At 43.6% G+C, this 15,458-nt stretch overlaps 1 protein-coding gene across 18 annotated transcripts in view; it reads right to left on the bottom strand.

The window, feature by feature from the left end:
• KLF8 (KLF transcription factor 8) overlaps positions 1-15,458 on the bottom strand; it is a 383,409-nt gene that overhangs the window by 54,430 nt on the left and 313,521 nt on the right. For 4 of the 18 annotated variants that reach the window (NR_136705.1, NM_007250.5, XM_006724575.3 and 1 more), the window contains exon 1: positions 3,761-4,746. The exons of 2 other annotated variants lie outside the window; for them this stretch is intronic. Coding sequence is in view for 14 of the 16 variants with exons in the window: in NM_007250.5 (NP_009181.2) it covers positions 3,761-3,767 (7 nt within the window). In the remaining 2 variants the exon portion in view is untranslated. Of the gene's footprint in view, positions 1-3,760; positions 4,747-5,078; positions 5,132-15,458 lie in introns of those variants that run through there. 12 more of the 18 variants (NR_136704.1, NM_001324100.1, NM_001324099.1 and 9 more) reach the window with 9 other exon arrangements.

Here is a 15,458-nt window from a genome sequence, read left to right as displayed (position 1 = left end):
TCAAGTTGCCTAGTCCCACACTTTTAAAAGTTGATTGATAACCAGTATTTCAAAATCAGATTTCACTTAAATTCCTAGAATTCCAGTTTCTTTTGAATAATCAGAAGATACTGAACCATATATATATATATATATATATCCATCTATCTATCTATAGAAAACCAAACATGATTTCACATTATCTTTGAGTAAACAAATGAGCCCAATACTACAATGTTATTCACACACACACACACACACACACACACACACAAACATACTCATTGCTTGATATACACTAAATATCCCTGGAGAGATTCCTAATAAATAGATAACATTAGTTGCCTCCAGCGAGGCAAAATGGGTGGCTAGAGAACAGGAATAGGAGGGAGACTTTTTTCACCATGCACCCTTTAGTAAATACTGAATTTTGAGCCAGGCGGAATGCATTACCAATTGAAAATGCATGTTTTAGTTGAAAGTTTTTAAATTTTAGGGAAAACAAAACACGTGTGAGCTTTAGTTGGTCTGTAGGCTAATTGTTTGCACGTCTCGCCTAAATTAAGGTGGTGGCAGTTAGAATAATAATAAAGAAACAGATACCAGATACAAAGGGGAAAAAATACAACAGCCATTGGCATCTAATTAAATGAGAAAATGAGGAAGAGGGGAAAGGGACATGAGTACCACAACAGCTACATTTTCCCACTGCTTCACTTTCATGCCGCCTTCTAAGTGTTTACAAAATTAACACACTTATTCCTCACAGCAACCTTATGAGGTAGTGTCTATTATTATCCCCAATGCACAGATATGACAACTAAAGTACAGAGTTTAAATAAGTTCACCATTACTATGGTCATAGTAAGTTGCAGAACCAGGGAAGTGAAAGGAAGAGTCTTGAATGAGGAATGAGTGAAGAGTCCAGAGGTGATGATGGGCTGTATATTAGAAATGGTGAGTGTGAGGTTACAACAAAATGTCAAATTGCTAGTGATTTGAAATATCTGGATTGGGCTCTTGAGTTAGGTTATTGCTCCTTAATAATCCTAGAGCTTAGTTTGCCCACATCACATCTATTTTGTCTAAATACACAAATAACATCTTTTAGTATATTATACAGAACATCTAGCACCTTTCATATATTTAAATCCAGCTTCCTGTCCACTAATCTACATTCCACTTCTGCAAACACACAGCAGCATTTAAATAAAACAAATTTTTTTAAATAACAAAAATGATGAGACCGCAACTTATGAAACATATTAGATATCAGGCACTGAGTTCAATGCTTTCCTTACATTATTTATAATCACAAATTATCATGTCATTTTAGAGATGAGGAAACAGGCTAAATGATGAAACTCAGTTGAGGATAGTAAACATTAGCATATAAAAATCAGGAAGAGGTTGGGCACGTGGCTCATGCCTGTAATCCCAGCACTTTGGGAGGCTGAGGTGGATGGATCACCTGAGGTTGGGAGTTCGAGACCAGCCTGACCAACATGGAGAAACCCCGTCTCCACTAAAAATACAAAATTAGCCAGGTATGGTGGTGCATGCCTGTAATCCCAGCTACTCAGGAGGCTGAGGCAGGAGAATCACTTGAACCTGGGAGGCGAAGGTTGCGGCAAGCCGAGATCACGCCATTGCACTCCAGCCTGGGCAACAAGGGCGAAACACCGTGTCAAAAAAAAAAAAAAAAATCAGGAAGAATACCAAACATGATCTCACACTGTCTTTGAATAAACAAATGAGCCCAATACTACAATGTTATTCCCTTATTCATACTCTACTTAACAATAAGATGGTAATCATACTAGATGATCATCTATGTCAATCATCCTAATTAAGTTTTCCTTCATTCACAAAATCATGGCATTGTAAAGCTAGATCTTAGAAGATCATATACTGCCCCCACCGCACCAGGCACAGACAATCTGGCAAGATCAAAAATGACTAGGCTCTGTTTGCTACTTTGGTTATTGGAATTCACTTAGCCAATGAGAACCCCACCTCAGAAATGCATGTATTAGAACAATGAGAGTGGTGATGGTAGTCTGCTACATGGTTATTTTTTTCCCAATTTCCAATGTGCCCTGAAAAGTCTAAACAAGAGGGATGTATAGCTCCTGAGGGCTCTGAAGGTACAGCCATTAAGTAAGTTGGTCTTGAGGGTGGACTACATAGATGCACCTGTCATTTTTACTTTTGAGGTTATTATTTCTACTCTTCCTATGTTTTCTGCCTGTCTGCCCTCCAGGCTTACCTGAAGACATTGCTCCCCACCCATTCTCTGTGTCCCCAGCAGTCACCAAAGGTCAACAACTCTCAAGGGCTTCCCCATAACTCTGAAGAATGGGATGAGGTCATTTACCTATCACTTGTTTCTGTTGTCCAAAAGTCCTGTTGGTTATATCATTCTGGTTAAGTTGCCCAAAGAATGAGAGAAAAGGCAGGCTAGTAGCCCTTTCTTTCAGAAGTGATGAAGTCTGGTGGAAACAATGTTAAATCAGAAGCAAATAAAACCTGTGTTCTAGCCTCAGCCTTTGGACAAACTAATTCAGTCTTCCTAAGTTTCGTTTTACCACATCTGGAAGGTGTTTTAAGGACAGAAAAACACTAATTTTATCAGCAGTGGTCCAGAAAAATAGTTCCAAACTGAGTAGAAAAGGGAAGTTGAACTAAGATACAAGTGGCAGCCTCTGCCACATACACAAGATATTTCATCCACCCGAGTATCTACTGAGATAGAATTATTAATCTGCATTCTATGGAAGAGAAAAGCAAGGCCCAGGGTGATGCAGCTAATAAGTGGTGATACTAGGGTTTCAAAGCAGATTACCCCAAACCATGGCAATCTCCATCAGTTTCAAATCCAAATTTAAAGATTATTCTTTTTGCTCAATTATTACCACACTGGGTGACAGGTGCTTAATAAATGCGTTTCTTCACGATGAATATAATACCAAAAGAAATAAGACATGGTGCCTTTGGCCACCTGTTTGGATGTGATTTATTTTTTCCCAAATTCTTAGGGTTAAAAAAAAAAGCCCACAAAAAGACAGCTCCGCCAAGTGGCTAAACAAATGGATTCACTTCAGCAATCACAGCAACTCGGCCCAGTCAGTCTTCCACCTACACAGACGAACCAACTGCCTTGGCCACGTCTTAAAGGGCCGGAGCAGAGCCTAGGCTCTGGCTTCCTTCTCCAACCAAGCTCAGCCCCTCCTTAAAGAGCTGGCACGCCCAAAGCAGCTCCTCCCCCGCAGCTGCTTCCAGGCCTCACTCTGTGCCTCCAATAGCCTAACTTTGCACCTTAAACCACTGTCCCCTCCTCCTTCTTTTCAGAAGCTTCTCTAGGTACCCGCTATGGCTTCAGGGGGTTACCTGGGAGCTTTGGCCTTGTGAATCCTGTTCTCTCTGGTTGTGACTTTGGCTGTGTGGGGTTAAGTCAAAGACAATCCTTACCGCTTAAGGAGTATTGGGAGTGCCGAGCCAGGGGAGACTAGACTAGACAAATCCATCCATTCTTGCCCCCTTTCACTTCTTCCACCAAGCTCTCTCCTCTCCTTCTTGGCCTTTCTTTGCCCAGCCCTTTAGCAAAGTCATTTTCCCTTGAGTTTCATTTGATTCCACATAGTGTTCTTAACCTTCCGCTCCCGCCCCCACTGCTGAAACCCCAAGTGGGGTGTGTGGGGGGAGCAGGGGGACTGGGAGGGGGATAGAATCTAGACGAAAGAGGTGGGAGTGGGTGGGTATTAGTCCCAGAGTCACTTACCGACCATGTCACTAGCTGAGGACTCCTGAAGTGTCCAGAACTCATGCCGTCCTCCGGGAGGCTCATACTCCTGAGCTGATCGCAAGAGAGCTGTTCCCCTCACACCCGCCCCATTCTGACATAGCGCAGGGCGACGCGTTCTCGTCTTCTCGTTCTTGGGCCCCCACTCCCCTATTTCTCCGGGCTGGAAAATGAGGAGGGGGTCGAAAGGGGAGGGAGTCGATTCAGACCCAGCTGGGCCACTCTCGGAACAAGGGAAACAAAGCTCTCAAGCATCCAACCCAAAAATCAGGGGCCGGCAGAGTAGACTTCCTAAAAAGAATCCTCCCCCCTGCAGCTTTTCCTTGGACAAAAATAAAGTGGGTTCGCTGGGCCGAAGTGGCCAGAGCTTAAGGTCCTCCGTTCCCCTTTTACCTCTACCAATTCAGTTCCGGCCAAGCCCGCTCTCCACCCATCCTCTGAACTCCACACACCCTTTAAAAGGAGAGGGCCGGGGGTGGGGGCTATGAAAACCAACCCAACCCCCAAAGCGCTACTTGAACATAAAGTTGAGGCGGAGAAGAAATCCTTCAAGACAGGAACCCACGAGGAGATACCACAAGAGGATCCCTTCACCGCCGCCGTTGCCGCCGCACACCCCAGCGCCTTCCTAAAAAGAAAGAAGGGAGGAAAAAAATGCCGACGATTGGTAGAATCATAGAGAAGAACACCAGCCCCAGGGCAGGGGCTTCAGCGAAAAATGGCAGCAACTCGTGCGGGTCCTCTGGGGCGGGGTTTCTTGGAGGCACCTAGCTGCCCCACGGGGTACCTCGCGCCCCACGCGAGTCAGAACCTAAAGTGCTCTCTGGGCAACCTGAGTGGGTAGAGTGATTCCGTCTTTCTCTGGCCCTGCTAGGCCCAAAGGAGAGGTGTGACTATCGTGAGGACTCCACCTAGGGTGGAGTTCCTTAAAAAGGACAGGCGGCCGCTAGAGGAGAGTGCAAAGTGGGAGGAGGTGGAGAAGGGTGGGGCTGAGAAGGAGGAGGGAGGAAGGAGGGGGTGGGGCGGGGCCCTGGGCCGACAGAGCTGGCCTCGCCTCCGGCGGCCGCCTCCCTCAGCCTCCAGCAGCGGCAGGTATAATTCCAATCAATTTCACTTCCTTATCTGTCCCAAAATTAAGGCTTGCAAGCACACTGCTTGATTACCTATTTACTCCGGTTATGCTAATTCTCCAGGGGAGGGTGGTGAAACGGGTACTGGGATTGGGGCTGGGGGCTGTCTAAGAGGGAAAGGAGAAAACAAAAAAGCTGACAACTGGAAGCGATATTTATCCTCCTACCTCTCCATGGTAACACGAACAAGGACAGCGAGGTCACAGTGTCTTCTCAGGGAGGAAGCTAAAAGGAACGGAGATTGGAGCTTGGTGCATTTTCTAGCAAGAGATAAGCCAAGGAGGTGAGGGCGAAGGAGTAGGTGGGGAAGAAGAAGGAGTTGAAGATGATCTGTGAATACAGCGTGGCCCAGCAGGGAGACTTAAGAAAGGCTTTCTCAGTCTCCCAGATACCAGACCTCTAAGAATAGAGTTCTCAACCCCCTGAGACCGCCTCTCAGCCAGGCATTGGCGAAGATCCCCGTAAAGCTGAATCCACAGGATAGGAGCCATGTTTCCAGGATTTCTTTACGCTTGCCTGAAAGTCTCTCTCTAGCTCATTTTAATGGGAGGCCAGGAAGTCACAAGCAACCACAGCCCATTTTCAGTGCCTCTTCCCTACCACAATTCTTTTAAAGAGGAGGAAAAAGAAGAGAGACAAGAAACAAAGCAGAGGGAGGAAGAGCAAAGAGACAGGAGAAATAATAATATCTGCCATGTATTCAGCACCTAATATGGGCAAGTCCCTGAGCCAGGTGCTTTTACATTCAACATTTCCCCATTTAGTCCCAATAACAACCCTGGGAACTAGGTACTGTTATATTCTCTGTGCCCTTTATTTAAAAAAATAAGGAAACGGAAGGCCTCAGCCCAGTACTTTCGAACACATAGGTCTACTTACTTAGTTGATATTTCTGCCTGAATGTCTTCTGTGCATCTCATCTACCTTCCTTTCCCCAAAACACTCTGTTCTTCCTCCTGTAGTTCACCAACTACCTGAATGGCACCACCATACATCCAAGGCAGCACCCTGGAACTCATCCTTTAACCTGCTGTGATCTGGCCTTTGTCTGCCTCTCAAGCAGCAGAGATTTTGCTGTTCTCCTGGGCTTTACCTGGATTACAAATCCCTGGGAATTCCAAGCTGTTTCCAATCTCTATGCCTTGGGTTGCTTTACTTTCTCTGACTGAAATAGACTAAGCTCTCTGTCCACCTTTTTTTTTCTTGCATGTCCTTCCAATGAATCTGTCCACTTTCTTGAAAGGACTAACTCAAGGTCATCTCCCCTCCTTACTTAATTTCTTCAGGCAAAACTGACCATTGCTTCCTCTGTGCCCTTCTCTACCTCGGGGCACATATTTGTTGGTATAATTGCCTCCCCCTACTAAACTATAAAGTCCTTGAGCTGAAGCACCAGGCGATCTCATTTCTGTAACTTGGATGCCAAGTTATATTATTATTAACAATAATAATAGTTATTGAGCATTAACTATGTACTAAACTCTGTTGTAAGCCTCTTATGTATATTAACTCATTGAATCCTTCTGACAATCCTATGGGTAGACATTGCTATCCCCATTTTACAGATGTGGAAACTTAGTGACAGGTTAAATAAATACACATGCATATGTATTTGTTTCATAAAAGAATGTCCCTGTAGTAGGGGTTTCATAAATAACTCTCTATCTCACTATATCTCTTCACCACGACCTGCACCCCTGCCAAGCTTACAAGGTAAGATATATTGAGATGGAATCATACAGAGAAGTGTACAACTCTCTATGCCTTCATTTAAAAAATTTACTTTATTCCTTGGAGGCTTTGTTTCTCAATGTATAAAATTTGGGGAGTATTATCCAATATAGGATTCTTACCACTACAGCACTGTTTTGAGCAATGCTGAAAAGTTTTCTCTTAGATTCAAGTGTGTGAAAGACATTAAGCAGTTTATATCAATAATAAATGCATTTTTGTGATGTGCAGATGAAAATGAGTAGATTGCTGAAGTAACATTTTGAAAAGAGTAGCCACTACTAGCCCTGAATACAGTGGGTGTGCCTTAAGGTCATCGAGTTACTTTTTCAGTCTGAAATAGCTTTTCAAGAAGGTCGATCCATACACAGATAGCTTAACAGTTTATATTTTATTAAAAGTCTTTATTGTTGACAAATTTATTTTAAGCTCTAGCTTTTTGTTTGTTTTAGAAATACTGCCTCAACTTTATTTGTGGGGAAAACTTAGACCTTAGATGGCAAATTCAGTTTTTGGAAAACTTGAAGTTATTGAAACTTGGAAAAACAAACCCAAGATCCTTTCCCATCTGTTCTTTCATCTATTCAGTCAATAAAATGTATTGAGCACCTGTGCTTTATCAAGAACAATGCTAGGTGTTGGGGGGCGGTGGAATGAGAACATCCATTCTAAGAGGCTCCAGTGGATGAACCCTCAATTTCACTGTACGCACACAGCCTATTAGTCCACATTTCCCCTTCAAGTCCTTTAGAGATGGCCTCTGTCTCACTCAAATTAGGACCCAAAGATGGTTCACAGGGAACTATGAAACCCATGACCACAGTTAATGTCAAAGGCAGGAGTTTGCCTTTATATTCTTTTACTCTTGACACATAGAAATAATCAGCATGTGGTTGGTGTTGTCTATGTCACACGAAAGGGTGTGAGGGAGCAGGTATGGGGAACTAGAAGTTTTGATAAATTTCCCTGTCCGTCTAGGAAACACCTCAGGCTCTCCTTTCTTTAGCTGGCTAGAATAAACATGAACCAAATAGCAACCTGCGATATTTTCAACTCCTTCCATCCCACCTTATGCGTGAGGGAGACTGCTTGAAGAAGCAGCCTGTGCTTTCCTCTATATATCCAAGTAATCAGATGAGGAGTGTTAAATTAAGTGTGGAACCTAATGAAAAGCAGCTGAGAAATATGCAGACACGATTCTGGGCCCACATATGCTGTTCTTCCCTTCTTCTCTTTCTCCTCTTCATCATCCCGCTTCTCCTCCTCCTGAAAGCCAGCTGACAAACTACCAGGGTGGAGCCCAGTCTGAGGGCTGGAGGGAAGGGAGGAGGAAAAGCCTCAGTAAGAGGACTCCACCCTCTCTGCTCCCAGTAGAACAACAACAATAAAAAAAAGAAGGCTTGAGAAGCTGGGCCTGACAGGAAGGTGGGGCAGAATAGGGCAAAGTGAGGAAGGGTGGGTAGATGGGAGGGGAGTTAGGACCTCAGCTGGGTAAAGCTGGGCTGGGGAATGAAAGGGAAGTCAAGCAATATACAAACAGAAAAATCTGCATTCATTAAATCACTGTTGTTTGTGGAACAACAAAAATGTAGCTAAAACCAGGGCATAGTTCAGACCTAGTGGGAACAAAATTGTCCTCCTCACCCACTTTTCTTCTTATTCCACAGTTCCCCAGAGAGCATATTCCTTCTGCGAGCTCAGCTAGAAGGAGACCTTTTGCCCCTCCGCTAATGTTGAACCAGTGTTAAGTTCCTCACATGTCCCAGAGGACAGCACTAAGGTTACTGCCAGCAAAGGATAAAGATATTTTGGAGAAGGAAATCTAGTTAGCTGAGAGAAGAAAGCCTGGAAGGAGATTGCGGGGATAAAACAATGATTTAGATTGCAAACTGTGCAACCCTGGGCAAGTGCCTTCACATCTCTAAACATTTCCTCACCTATTTCTTTTAAAGATATTACTTCACAGAATTGTCAAAAAGATTAAATAAGATGCAGAGGTGGCTTTACAGTAAAATTAATGAAGCTTAAGCTTTACGCCCCTTTCCAAGACTCCAGAAGGGATCAAACATTGTGTTTTTCTTAAAGATGGTCCCCAAAGTGGTATAAGCTTCCAGCCCCACAAAACCTAGATTGGCCGCCAATGAGATTATAGCCTACAAAGCACAGTGTCTGGCACAAAGAAAGCTCTCAATAAAGGTTAACTAATATTCATAGCAATGGCAACTGTGAAAACTACCAGCTTTAGGTTGAGTCTCTTTCTGGTCATAGATATTGAGAACATGCTCCTGTGTTCCCCATAACCCTTGCCACTGTATGTATAAATAAACCAGTTTATAAAAATCAGCAACTAAACTGCTTGCTTGAGACATTCAGAGGCATGATTAAATTTGGTTTAGGAATGGCCAATGGGCCAGAAACATGTGGCCAGGGTTTGAAATTCTGGCACCGCACCATCCCAGACAAGCTCTAGCAGGCCTGCTGAGTCCTATAAATTTAGTTGTGCCTCAGGCTGCTATCTTTATGAGCAAGGAGCTTGACTAGGTGTGTGTGTGTGTGTGTGTGTGTGTGTGTGTGTGTGTGTGTGTTGGGGCTAGGGGGTTGAGTATGTATGGGTTTTTAACTCCATTTTAGACCCTAGATACCACCACACCCATAAATTGGAGGAGGGAAGAGGGAAGAGACTTTATAATCAACAATCAAGTCAAACCAGAAAAACTGCACCTGCAGAAAAGGGATAACATCCTTGGCCTTGTCCCCAAAGTGTATATTCCTGAGTCAGGGCAAGAGTCTATTGTGTATACAAGAAAAAGACTTGCAGGCTGGGCACCGTGGCTCACGCCTGTAATCCCAGCACTTTGTGAGGCCAAGGCGGATTCATCACGAGGTCAGGAGTTCGAGACCAGCCTGGCCAATATGGTGAAACCTGGTCTCTACTAAAAATACAAAAATTAGCCAGGCATGGTGGTGCACACCTGTAGTCCCAGCTACTCAGGAGGCAAAAGAATTGCTTGAACCCGGGAGGCGGAGGTTGCAGTGAGCTGAGGTCGCACCACTGCACTCCAGCCTGGGCCACAGAGTGAGACTCTGTCCAAAAAAAAAAAAAGAAAAAGACTTGAATTACTGCTTTAATATTAAACAAATAAATATATGAGATTGTCTAAGGAAATGCATAAATAGAACAGGAACTTTTTTATCACTGAGCTAATCCAGAGAGGCGCCAGGGCTCTGAAGGCCCCCAAAGGCAAGCTCATGCTTATCATCCTTGTGTTACTTACCACAAGCAGCTCTCACTTCCCCAACAGAGGGGTGGTATCCATCTTTCACTGTCCCCTAAGCCAACAGGAGATTGGCCTTCACCCTTCTTCCCATTGCAGTCTTATCACTTCCCTCAGAAAGTAAAAGGGAGAGAATAAAGAGGGTGGGGAGGATGTCTTTGGTGCTTTCTTAAAACCTTTCTGCCAATACACCTATTGAAGTACTGCAGCCTCATTTTTCATTTCCTCTGTCCTTTGTTTGCCCAAATGGCCTTGCATTGTGGTAGTCCTTTTCTCTCAAGTCAATACCACAAATATAGTTGGAGCAGTTTACCCTGGAGCCACAATAACAGGATATTCCCTTCTCAAGTCAGGCCAGCAGGGTATTTAAAAGAGTAAGCCAGGCAGATTAGCAGTAGTGATTTACTTCCTAAGGTGAAATAAATTATTTGATCCAAGATAAGAGTCTAATTAGTATGTTATGGGGATATAAGCAACGATACCTGTTTACATGATATAAACACACAACTAAATGGCCAGGAGTATGTGAACAAGTGGGGAGAATATACACAAATATACTGAAAATAAAACAATGCATACATACATACTAGCAAGATTTAGTCACCCAATCACAGAATGTTGGTGTAGGAAGGACTCAAAGAGGTTATTTCATCCAGTGGCATTCATACCAGGTGATTTAGGTGGTACATAGATAAATATTTTCTAATAGTATATATTTATCTGTATGGTTACCTTCTATTTATGGAGAGTAAAACTAGCTTTCCATTTATGGTAATGCTATTTTTGATGAAATTTACTTAAGTAAAACATGTCAGTGTATTTAAAGAAGCATATTAAGTAAATAATGATATAGGTAGTACTCAGATATGGTCTAAATCATGAAGTTAAAACATAAATAATTGAACTTTAGCAAACCATGATTGAATTAAATTCTACTCCCAATTCAGGAGTTCCCTTATTTAGACACCTAGATCTAGAGGAGAGTCTAACCCCGAAATCAATAAATATGAAGCAACCTTGCCCCCTCCTCCTGTGCCCATGGCAGAATTGTGAACAGAACATGGCATTTTTCCACTGAGCCTAGGTGAAGCCTTCTACTCTTCTTCCTTGAACCTCCAGTTTGGGCTAATGGGCCCTCTTCTGACTCTTACAGCACTCTGACATATTTCTCTCAGAGGGCTCACTGCAATGTAGTATACCTCTCTTTTTATGTGGCAGTCTTATCCATTTGACTGTCAGCTCCTTGAGGCCAGGAGTCTAATAGTAGTTCAATCATCTTTATGCTTTCAACTCTGAACACACTGCCTGTCATATGACAAGTAATAAAAGTTTGTAGAATGGAATAATTTAGAGCTGCAAATGCCTGGATGTGAATACTGACTTCGCCACTTACTAACTGTGTGACCTAGGACAAGTTACTTAACCTATCTGGGCCTCGGCTTCCTCCTTTGTAAAGTGAGCATAATGATAGTACTTACCACACAGGATATTGAGAGAATTAACTTAATACATGTACATAAACATGCTTAGAGGAGTACTTGCCACAGACTAAGCACTGTATAAATTTTTGCTATTATTTTGTTGAACTGAAATATGCCTCTTTGATATTTCCACCTATTGGTCCTGTGACTCATCCCTGGAGAAACATAGAACAAGTCTATTCCTTCTATGTCATGATCCCTCAAAGGTCTCACCTTCTGTCCTCTCCCATAAATTTGCCTGATTGCATAATCTATCTCTTGCATAACATAGTTGTCATACCCCCTTACCACCTATTAGTTGGTTGATCAGAGAAAAATAATAAAGACCCCTAGGCCAGGGATGCCATCTCACAGAGACCAAGGTGCTTTACCATATAGTTTACCAGGTAAACAAGTGCAAGGGTGAGAATAAATGTCTCTATTACCAGAAAGCCAGAGATGGAAACAAAGGACGGTCACCCCAGATTTAAATATAATAATGAAAAAATTGAAAAGATCTAAATGTTTAATAATAAGATATTGGGTAACTAAATTATAGTACACCCATATGATTGATGCACTGCTAGGGTCTAAGTATATGTGTGCCCTTCAAATTCATATGTTGAAATCTTAACTCCCAATGTGATGGTATTAAGAGGTAGGGCCTTTTGGAAGGTGATTAGGTTATGAGGGCTCCACCTGCAAAGATGAGAATAGTGTCCTTATAAAAGGGCTTCAGGGAACGAGTTCACCCCTTTTTACCCATCTGTCCCTTCCTACATGTGAGGAGGCAGTGTTCATCCCCTCTGGAGGATGCAGCAACAAGGCACCATCTTGGAAGCAGTGAGCCCTCACCAGACACCAAATCTGCTGGCACATTGATTTTGGACCTTCCAATCTCCAGAACTGTGGTAAATAAATTTATTTTATGTATAAATTACCAGGTCTGGGGTATTTTGTTATAAGAGCAGGAACAGAGTAAGAGATAGACATTATATAGCCATTAAAATTTAAGTTTTTCAAGAATTCTCAATCACTACAGAAAATATTTGTATAATAATATTAAGTGTAAAAACAGGACATAGTATAGTTACACTATCATTTACATTTTATTAGACCGACACACATGCCATTCAACTTTGCCACAGAAACAAACACAGTTTAGCATTAAAACAAAGGATAGCTAGTAGGATTATAAGAAAATTTTATCTTACTTAAAAATTTTTCTATAAAGATCATGTATTGCTTTTATAATAAAAAAATCAAGTTGGACATAGTACTGTAGTTGTAGGTAGCTGAAGGATTATGGTGGTTTTTATTTCCTTTATTATACTTCTTTGTTTTTCAAATTTTCTATGACAAATTTGTAGTTTTGATATAATTAGATAAAACAAGATGAACTGTTTTTAAAGCAACATCTTATCATACTGTTCATTTACCTAGGTCATATCAGCTTCAGGAAAGAATACTCAAGGAGCACAAGTATGTAATACTAGTAACAAGACCCACCATAACATTTCTTACCTGCACTATCTAAATGACCTCCTAATTGGTCTCCCTAACCGTTTCTGCCCTCATGCACTGCAGCTAAAATTTACCATTCCAAAATCAGAAATTTCTCAAAGGTGTCTCATTGCCCTCAAGATAAAAACTAAGCCAGACGCCATGGCTTACTCCTGTAATCCCAGCACTTAGGGAGGCAGAGGCAGGAGGATAGCTTGAGCCCAGGAGTTCAAGACCTGCCTGGACAATATAGTGAGACCCCATTCTCCACAAAAAGAAAAAAAAAGACAAAAAAATAACAAACAGGTGTAAGATAAAAACTAAAATCTCTTAATGTGATCTACAAAAAACAACAACAAAAAAGCCTTCAGAAATAGCTTGTGCTTTTCTCCCTAGAGATGAGTCTCCCCAGCCAGGATTTGCCACTTGCTCAAGACAATGCTTTGCAAGGCAAAGTACACAAATCCTGGCTACATCTTTCTCTCTGCTTAGAAATTTGGCTTAGTAATAATAATCACATTTTGTAATTAGGTATGTTATGTATTTGTGTGATTATTTTTTCTATGCCTATCTCTCCCACTAGAATCCTTACTGTGAAGGCAGAATCTAGGTGAACTTTACCCACAAATGTGATCCATTGTTTGAAAGAGAGTAGTTGCTCAATAAATATTTGCTAAATTCACCGACTGGCTAACTAAATGATATCCTCATTTGCTTTTTATTGCAGTGTTCATGTCTGATTTCTCTGATCTACAAAGCTCTGAATGTGCTGGGATGGCAAGGGGCCATAGTATTGGGGGTAGGTTAGATTGTAGTAAGTTATTTATTCCTATTAATGATAATTGGAGTAAGAGTTTGAGGCTGAAATTAGTCTACATTTCTGTAATAATAACTAACGTGAATAGTGTGCTTGCTGTGTGCCAGTCATTGTTCTAGGTGCTTCACATGTAGTAAGCTATTTAATTCCTATGAGTACCATTATCCCCATTTTACAGAGGAGAAAATTGAGGCAGAGAGAAGTTAAGTGAGTTTGCCAAGATCACATAACATATCACTCCTTTCAGTTGTTTTGATTGTAGCGGGGTTCAAAGAACATGGACCATAGTGAGAGGTGACAGCCTGCTGGCAGCCCTCGCAGCCCTGGCTCGCTCTTGGCGCCTCCCTGGCCTCCGTGCCCACTCTGGCCGCACTTGAGGAGCCCTTCAGCCTGCTGCTGCACTGTGGGAGCCCCTTCCTGGGATGGCTGAGGCCAGAGCCAGCTCCCTCAGCCTGCCGGGAGGTGTGGAGGGAGAGGCACAGGCGGGAACCGGGACTGCACACGGCGCTTGCGGGCCAGCTAGAATTCCGGGTGGGCGTGGGCTGGGCTGGCCCCGCACTCGGAGCCGCCGGCCAGCCCCGCTAGCCCCGGGCAGTGAGGGGCTTAGCACCTGGGCCAATAGCTGCTGTGCTCGATTTCTCGCCCGGCCTTAGCTGCCTCCCCGGGGGCAGGGTTCTGGACCTGCAGCCCGCCATGCCCTGCCCCCACGGTGGGCTCCTGCGCGGCCCAAGCCTCCCCAACGAGCGCCGCCCCCTGCTCCACCGTGCCCAGTCCCATCGACCGCCCAAGGGCTGAGGAGTGCAGGCCCACCATGTGGGACTGGCAGGCAGCTTCACCTGCACCCTGCTGCTAGATCCACTGGGTGAAGCCAGCTGGGCTCCTGAGTCTAGTGGGAGCTTGGAGAACCTTTATGTCTAGCTGGGGGATTGTAAATGCACCAATCAGCACTCTGTGTCTAGCTCAGGGTTTGTGGACACACCAATCAGCGCCCTGTGTCTAGCTCAGGGTTTGTGGATGCATCAATGGGCACTCTGTATCTAGCGAATCTGGTGGGGACTTGGAGAATCTTTATGTCTAGATAAGGGATTGTGAATACACCAATCGGCACTCTCTATCGAGCTCAAGGTTTGTAAATGCACCAATCAGCACTCTGTGTCTAGCTCAAGGTTTGTAAATGCACCAATCTGCGCTCTGTGTCTAGCTATCTAGTGGGGACTTGGAGAATCTTTATGTCTAGCTAAGGGATTGTAAATACACCAATCAGCACTCTGTATCTAGCTCAAGGTTTGTAATCACACCAATCGGCACCCTGTGTCTAGCTCAGGGTTTGTAAATACACCAGTGGACACACTGTATCTAGCTAATCTAGTGGGGAGGTGGAGAACTTTTGTGTCTAGCTCAGGGATTGTAAACGCACCAATCAGCACCCTGTCAAAACGGACCAATCGGCTCCCTGTAAAACAGACCAATCGGATCTCTGTAAAATGGACCAATCAGCAGGATGTGGGTGGGGCCAGATAAGAGAATAAAGGCAGGCTGCCCGAGCCAGCAGTGGCAACCCCCTCCGGTCCCCTTCCAAACTGTGGAAGGTTTGTTCTTTTGCTCTTTGCAATAAATCTTGCTGCTGCTCACTCTTTGGGTCCACACTGCCTTTATGAGCTGTGACACTCGTGAAGGTCTGCAGCTTCACTACGGAAGCCAGCGAGACCACGAACCCACCGGGGAGGAACGAACAACTCCAGATGTGTCACATTAAGAGCT

This window comes from Homo sapiens, chromosome X (assembly GCF_000001405.40).
Source record: "Homo sapiens chromosome X, GRCh38.p14 Primary Assembly".
NCBI classification, from domain to species: domain Eukaryota; kingdom Metazoa; phylum Chordata; class Mammalia; order Primates; family Hominidae; genus Homo; species Homo sapiens.
Note: the sequence above shows the minus strand (reverse complement) of the source record. Positions and strands in the feature narration are given on the sequence as shown.